The sequence below is a fragment of the Homo sapiens genome, chromosome 2 (assembly GCF_000001405.40).
Source record: "Homo sapiens chromosome 2, GRCh38.p14 Primary Assembly".
Taxonomy (NCBI): domain Eukaryota; kingdom Metazoa; phylum Chordata; class Mammalia; order Primates; family Hominidae; genus Homo; species Homo sapiens.
In genome coordinates, this window is record NC_000002.12 from 5,323,092 (window position 1) to 5,331,639 (window position 8,548).

An 8,548-nucleotide genomic window follows, 5' to 3' on the forward strand; every position below is an offset into this window, starting at 1 on the left:
GCCTCACTCAAGTTTACTTGGATTTTGGGAACATTTTTATCCCTGGGCATCTCTCCAAGCTAGTGTCTCTTAGAATATATTTTAGGCAATGTCTGCCTTTACCTACATTTTTCCCTATTTCAACATGCAAAATCTAGAGGTGTGTATTTATAGAATGGTGATCATTGCGGAGCCTTGGAAAATGAGAACAGGTTAAAAGCACTCTGAGCTGTCTCTACTCAATTTACATCATGCGAGTGTAGTTTCTCACTAAGGTCTCCTATCAATACTTCCTAACATGTCTTATAGAAATTTTCAAATGAAATTTTGGAAATGAAATGGCTAACAATTGGGAAAATATCGTAGCCATTGCTTGCAGAAGAGTATCTGACTTCTGGTTCTTCATAGGTTATTAGTGAGGGAGGATCACAGCTCACCTCAATGGAGGCAGTAGCAAGATTTTGTTGGAGGTCCCCCATCAGGATTACTTGATCTTTAAAGAGATGCAGATGGGAAGGAAAAGGTGAGCTTTGAGTACAAAGCACAGAGATCAGATTGCTGGTTATTAAGAAGATTATCTTCTAACTCCCCCTTTTCCTGGAATATAATTATAAGTTACTTACCAAATAATTGTTATTGTTGTTTTAACATGGCAATCACGTTATTTGCCATATGTGAAAAAGAATATTTAAAATGCTTTTTAAAACTATGTATGTAAAAGAATGTTTAAATTGTTTTAAAAATATGTTATATCTACCTTGGCACCATCCTTGCTGTTGAGAAATGACTTTTACCTGCTTACTTAGAAGGAAATGTCAGAAGTAGAAGTACATTTGAATATGATTATTTGAAAGCTTCATCCATTTTTCAAAGAATGTATACAGTAACACTAAATAGAAAGCATAGTTTATCAACTCTTCACTAAGAACAGTCTAGCAAGTATATCAGAGTGGCTGTGGTTCCAGTTGGACTAACCTAATCATTTATGAAAAGGTGATAATAAGCTTGGACCAAGAGCACCCAACAGAAATAGATTTAAGAGATTTTAATAGCTTTCATTAAAAAAAATCCAAATTAGCCTTCAGGTCCATAGCAAATGTTGTCCTTACCCCTATATTTGTATTAACAAAAACAGAAACAAAATCAAGGAAAGCAGGACAGCCATACCCTAGCTACTATCCATATGGCTCACACTTTGATTCCTCCCGCGACCCCCAACCACACACATGCAGATGCTGAGAGGCCTGGGATTTACACATTTTACCCCAACTCTCTTAGACTTACTCACTCTCCACCTCATTCTCTTCCACCTTCTTCCTCAGTACTCTTTCTACCATTTATGCTTTCTCTTAACTCCGTTTGAATGAATATATGATTCTGTTTCCTCCAGGCCTGTGCTCCATGCTCCACTCTGATCTAAGGCTCAGCATTGCAGAGAAATCTCTAATGCATCTGGGGTTTGATTCTGGCTTCTCTGCTAAGCAGCCATGTGACTTCAAACAATTCTCTCCAACTCACCGAATTTCACTTTCATGACCCCTGAAGTTGGGACAATAAGTACCTTCGAGGATTGTTGTGGAATTCAATGAAATGATTTCTAGCTGCTTGATAAATGGGATCTGTTCTATTATTACCCCTCCCCCACCTCTGGCTTTTTCATTTGCTCCCCAGTGTGTCGATCACCTTCCTGCCTGTGAACACAGCCGTATCTTCTGGAGTCTTCAACCAGCCACGCCCACCCAGCCACTCTCTACCATCTCATCAGCTCCCAGCTTACTCACCACGCACTAAGCGGAGCCTTCTCTGGCCCTCTGACAATTTATATCCTTAGGTTATCTTCTTAGGCCTCCATGCACCTCTTGTCGATTTTTTTCACAGAAGTCCTTTCTCATTTAATCCCACTGTGCTGCAAATTCCACGACCAGAGGCTCTATACACTCTCTTTCTCTCGTCCCCATTGCCAAGCAGTGCCTCGTAGATGGTAAGCACACACAATTGGTTAAATAAAGGAATATTTCATAGATCTGTAGTTCCATGAACAACCTTGTGAGGAACGTCCTTCCCAACCCAACTCCCGGAAAGAAATCTCCATAGCCTCCCTGAGCCATCCCTTCCACTGGATGGTCATGAAACAGGGAAAGCTCCTATGTCCCCCTCATAGGGCATGCGATGGGGGTGTGACTCACTTCTTCGGTGCCTCACTGCTCAAACCCGTAAGGGGAGCAGGCAGACGGGCAGGTGGTGGGGAGCGCAGGCTCTGACCCCACGGCAGAATCTAGAGGTGAGTATTTACAGCTCCTGGAGCCCCAGTGGGCGTGTCACAGTGTGCTCTTTTCATTTTGTTGTCTGTAGGAGGCTTGTATCAACCAGCTCAGTTGGACCCTCCGGCTCACTGCAAGGACAGACGGCTTTCTGTATCCCGGGGTTCTTGCCTTGGTGTACTGGAAAAATCAGATCACACGTGGGCTTGGAGAACGGACGCGAAGTTTTATTGAATGGCGAAAGCAGCTCTCTCAGCAGATGGATGGGAACCAGAAGAGAGGTGGCCTCCCCTGGAGACTGTTTCCACTGAGCAGCCCGACTCCTCTCCCGGTTGTCCCGCCATAGACGGCCTGCCGGCGTCTGCTGGCGTCTCCCGGTGTGTTCCTCCACCCCTCTGCGTCTCGCAACCGCCAGCCGCTGGCGTGTCTGCCCGCTAGGCTCTCAGAGTGTCTATAGGCACGGGATGGGAGCACGACAGGCCAGGCTGGTCTGGAAAATGCAACATTTGGGCATGAAAACAGACATGCCTGTTCTCACCTAGGTCCGTGGACACAGGCCTGGGGTGGAGCCCTTGCCAGGGACCGCCCCACCTTCTCCTCCCAGCACTTCCCTGCCCCCTTCCTGTATCAGTCAGGAGCTGCGGTGCTCTGTTAGAATCCAGTGTTGAGTGGAGTTATTTATGTGGAAAGAAAAAAACAGGAGTATTTACAGGATATAGCCAGTCTTCTAGTGGATGAACTACATATAGAAACAAAGTTAGAAAAGTGGCGCAAATCAGATTTTCCTTTAGTAGCTGTATTAGTCAGCGTTCTCCGGAGGATATGTGTATATATGTATACATGGTGTATATCCCTCAATAGGATCTATGTATATATGACAGGGAATTTATTAGGGATAACTGGCACACATGATTACACAGTGAAGTCCCATGATGGACCCTGTGTAAGCTGGGGAAGAGAGAAGTGGTAGTGGCTCAGTCCGAGTCTGAAAGCCTCAGAACCAGGGAACCCAACAGTGCAGGCTTCATTCTGTGGCCAAAAGCTCAAGAGGCCAGCAAGCCACGGGTGCACGTCCCAGAGTCCAAAGCCGAAGAACCTAGAGTCTGATGCCCATGGGCAGGAGGATCAGACCGAAGCATCCAGCCTGGGAGAAAGATGAAAGACTCGGACAGAGCTGCTCATCTCACCTTCCTCTGCCGGCTTTGTCCCAGCCACACTGGCGGCCGATTGGATGGTGCCCACCCACAATGAGGGTGGGGCTTCCTCTCCCAGTCCAATGACTCAAATATCCATCTCCTCTGGCAATACCCTCCCCGACACACTGATCTAGGCATCCTTCATTCCAATCAAGTTGACACCTAATACTAACCATCATAATAGCTGTGGTGGCAAACTGGGCTGTTCGTAACAGTGGATCAAGGTGGACCTGTCTAAAACAGGGGAGCTCAAGAAAGAAATGGATTAGTTATGGAATGACGAAAGTCCACACATTTTAAGACAGTCTTATGTCAAAATAGGGTAGAGAAGCAAAGCTGGCCAGACATCAACAGAAGCCAAAGGAGTTGAAGGTCAAATAATAACAGTCACTTAGGCCAGAAAGCCCAGATGCACACACCTGGGGGGAAAATAGTCACTCTAAAACTTACACAGAGGATGTCACAGCAAGGGTTTCCCCTTGTCTTCTGGCCAGGACCACATATATCCTTTCCCAGCTTGGTGTCTCATAAGCCTGAACACTTGAGGTTGGCAATGAAGTTGCAAATTCCTACTTAAAAAAGTTTCTGATGGCTACAACATGATTTTCTCTGTAGTTTCTCGGATCATTTCCTTTGCTTAGATTCAACACTTTTCGTGGATAAGAATACAGAAACTCAGAGAGGTTAAATGATTTACTTTAAACACTGTTTATAACTTCAACACATATAATATTTATTGAGTGCATACTAGATATGTCAGGTATGATTCTAGATCTTGGAGATGCAGTGATAAACACAACAAACTCTCTTGCATTTAAACTACCAATTTATCTCAGAGCTGTTGAGTGGCAGAGTGAAATTCAGTTGAGGTCTCTGGCGTCAGACCACCTGGGCATTTTCTACACACAGTTTCATTGTATATCTTTCTGTAATTCCTTAAACAGGTAGTTTTCTTAGTATTTGTTTTTGTAAGTCTTTATTTCTGCAGGTATTCTGGAGTATTCAAGTGGAAAAATATTTATTCTCTCCATATGAAATTATCAAGATTCATGTTTAGAAGGTTGATAGAGTCTGAGTTTGCTCTGTTCCCCCAACCGCAGGCATCGTTTCACTGGTATATTTAAAATCGCGTTAACTGTAATGTGAGTCAAATTGTGTTTCTCAGAGCAAAAGAACTTTCAGGGAGGTGTTGTTTAAATGCTATAATAGCAAGAGTGTATCTTAATATTTTCATAAAGCCCTATTAATGGAAAATAATAATTTGTCTCTGTAATGGATGCCTAAGCTAGCTGAAATTTTTATTAAGAAGTCCCTCAGTCCTGCTGAAAAAATATCCAATTAATTCTTCTGGATATTAAAAAAAACTTTGAGTAAAAATTAGTTTTTTTGAATTGCCAATGAATGATAATTATCAGTTGTTCCCAGCACCCAAATGCTGACTCAAGGGCTAGGTCACTATCTTGTTGAGATTAGCTGAGCATTTAAAAGATTATTGACTGAACGCTGGAACCAAGCCTTAGGTAAAAATGGGTCTTTGAAAATGTAGAATCCAGGCCATCGATTAAAGAACCCACTAGAAATAAAATTAAGGTTCTGCTTGGTCTACTGATTTTTGACCAGACCTATGTGAAGTCCTGATAGGTCTGTCCTAAGATCTCACCATAGAAAAAAGATACTCTTGGGCATACTCTGCCCTGTTTATATAAGAGTTTATATTAAATTGACTCTTTTTCTGTAGTAGAACCGGGGATAATTCTCAAGTGTCTGTGCAATAATATTACAGATATCTAATGTGTAACTAGGTAAAGTTAGTCAAAACCAGCACATTTAAGTGAGTCAATCTGATTTTAGTCTACTTATTAATAAAAACTAACTACAAGTGGTCGACAAGATCAATATTGTGTCTGAAATATCCTTAAGGTTGAAACTGGCATCAAAAAATATGTAGCATTTATATAACTTAGGTAGCCCTGACTGTTAGCAAATGATAGAAATTAAAATAAACTAACATTCCAGACATTTAGTAGTAACTCATTTTGTTAGAGCAGTGTCCATTGTGTCTGTTGCTATGTAAGAGAAACCATTAGAAAAATCCATTTCTTAAGATTTCTTTGATCCAAGAACATTAATTATTTAACAAATATTTTAATACATGGAAGCTTGGATTTATTCATTTGCCTAGCCTGAGAAATAATAATTTTTATTGGATGTATTCACTGCATAATATATTAGAGATTTTTTTCACATTAAAAATGTTTCATAACTTAGAATTGACTTTGACCCCAATTTAACCTAATTAATTTAATATAATTGCCTCAGATGAGAGTGAAGTTATTTGCTTTCTGGAACACCAGTAGGAAATGATAGAACTGAGTCTAAGAACACAGACTGAGCATGACATCACAGGGTAAGGTGAGCCAGAGGGCTGGGTGACACGATGTTTCCTCGTCCTCTGGTATCCCACTGGTTGGGAGGAGCGGGGAGGACAGGGAAGCCAGGGGACAGCAGAGACCACAGAAGCATTCTCCCTGTTGCTGCTCCAGTGACTGGCACAAGACGCTGAAATCCAAGGTCAGGGGCAGCCTTCTGGGTGTTTCCCAGAGGAAAAGACCAGAAATCACTCAATCTGGAAGCTGAAGACGGCATTCAATTTTTGTCACAGGCCATGGATCCCAGTCAGGAAGAGGAATGGAGATGGCAACTAGGAATGAATGGTCAGAGGCAAATGGACTAGAGACAGTCTCTTCCTGTGTCTACTTCAAAAATCACGTTGTTTTCACTCAAAAATGCCCCTAAAGCAGCCCAAACTGCCCACTTCTTTGTGACAGGTGTATGTGGATGTGTGTGGGTATGTGTGTCTGTAGGGCAGGAGTAATAGTAGCTTAATAAAAGCAGACAGTTACAAAAAGGCAGGGTAAAAATTCATTTCCTTTAGAGAAAAGATATTTTCCTTTAAGTATTAAATATGTATTTTCTATTCCCATCTCTGGAGTGCATATTGTCTATGAAGTTATTAGACTCAATAATGTGATGTGTTGCCAGGAGTGGGTCTCAGGGTGAATCTATATTTTATGATATAGAAAAATATGCCATTTTAATTATCTTTATATCAGGTTTGAGAGTTGTGACATTTGTCTGAAATAACAATATATTTAAGTACATTCTTTATAGCTGGAAGAGATTCTAGTTTTCTCAGAGACCAAGAATGCATGCGTAATACAAAATAAAAGCAAAGAGAATCCTTCTAAGATGAACCAATATATTAACATAATGTATTTCTATGCAAATGGTTACCAAAAATAGAGCAATTATTTTTAAGTAATGCTTCCAAGTAACCAAATCTAGTTACGGGTGCTCAGTGGAATGATGAAATCCACGAAGGGTCTTTGATCCTGCTGATGTGCTGTGATCCTCCCAGGCTCTGTTGTCACCCAAACAGCTGCCACTGAAATTGTGGAGATCCTGCATCTCCCAGCACCTGAGTTCATTCCAGAGCTAATGAAAGAGATGGGCTGTGCCCTCCTCCTTCTGAGTCAATAAGCAGCCGATGACAATGTGCAAGGAGCAAAGGCATTGAGGCTAATTCAAGGGGAGACCCAGCATCCTGATTGGAGCAGGGCAGGATCTGGTGATGGGGGGCCCAGGACTTCCTGAATGTGAGGAGCAGTTTCTCCACTCCCTCCCCTCAGATATCTTCCAAGTTGGCAAGGATGGGACTGGCCTTAGCCAGGGTGGGGCAAGGTTGTATTTTCTAAGTTGAGTGCCCATAGCAATTCTAGCAAATGTGGCCTTCTTGAACCACCTTTTTAAAGCTCCGTCAAGATGGCTCCTGTTCTTGCCACAGTGCGTGCGGGCATGGGTGCTACAGAATCACTGCCCGTTAGAACCCAGGGATCACCGGGATTCTCTAAGCTTGATTGCTGTTTGAGATGTGAGAACACTCAGGCTCAGAGGGGCATGGCCTCTTCGTGAGGCCATGGACGACCAGACACAGCCAATATCTCTACCCTGGCCTCTTTCCACTGTCCATGTTGCCCCCCATGTGGATACTTTTGTGCACAAACAATGGCGATTGCCCACACTTATGAAGTGTTATAAAGGTGGCCTCCTTTGCAGTTCTGAGGGCATGAGGTCAATTAACTCATGGAAACCCTCAGCTGTCCATGATGCCTTCACAGTGCTGCCCCCACATTACAGAGCAGCCTTGGCTACTGCAGGCGGAAAATAAGCAGGGATAAGAGTTAAACAGTTACGTCGAGAGCTCTGCCCAAGTCTTCTCTTTTAGGATATATTATTCTTTGCCTTGCCCTGCTAGTCATGGGAGGATCGAGGCCATGCCCTACTCAGGTTTGAGGGGCTTCTGGAGCACAACCCACTGCACCACTGCCCACAGGCTTCTGTTGTAGCCCACAACACACTCACATCGTGACGTGATGATAATGTGAAAACATATGAAAATCAGAGGGAAAAATGAAAAAATAAGAAAGGTTAGGAGCAAGGAAGGGTAAAAGAGAATCCAGATATGCATAGAGCCTGCACAGGGATGAAAATCTCACTTCAAATGTGCCTCTCAGTTTCCTTAAAGCCCAATATGTCGTGGTTAATCTCATTAATCATTAACTAATAACTGTATTAGTCACCACAGAGGCAGGATCTTCCTGTGTAGCAACATTACAACATAGATGTATGCATCCTGTCTTCCTCACAGGATTTCTCACACAGTATCTTCACCATCATTATTCATTATCATTATCACCACTGTTATTAATATTATGGTTGTATGTAAATCTCTTGTGACATTTCCATTGGCTGTATTAATTAATTTACTCAATGAATGTTTATCGAGCTTTTACTATGTTCCAAGATTGGTGTACACAGAGATCAATAAGACACAGTCCCCGCCATGAGAAGTCTATTGGATAAAATAGCTACATAAACCAAATATGTGTAAAATAACATGGATGGACAATGATGGAAGTATGTATTCTATAACTCCTGGGGAGGCAGGGTGTGTAGGGAAACACTTCATAGAAGTGAAAAACTGAATCTAGGTTTTGTTTTTGTTTGTTTGTTTATTGAGATAGAGTCTCACGCTGTCACCCAGGCTGGAGT

The 8,548-nt window shown here is 42.4% G+C and overlaps 1 annotated feature.

Moving 5' to 3' along the window:
* Positions 2,124 to 2,638: an enhancer, noted in NCBI's record as "H3K4me1 hESC enhancer chr2:5465348-5465862 (GRCh37/hg19 assembly coordinates)". NCBI's record gives its function as "activates a minimal SCP1, AML or CMV promoter by ChIP-STARR-seq in naive H9 embryonic stem cells {active_cell/tissue: H9 hESC(naive)}" and the evidence as "EXISTENCE:reporter gene assay evidence [ECO:0000049][PMID:30033119]".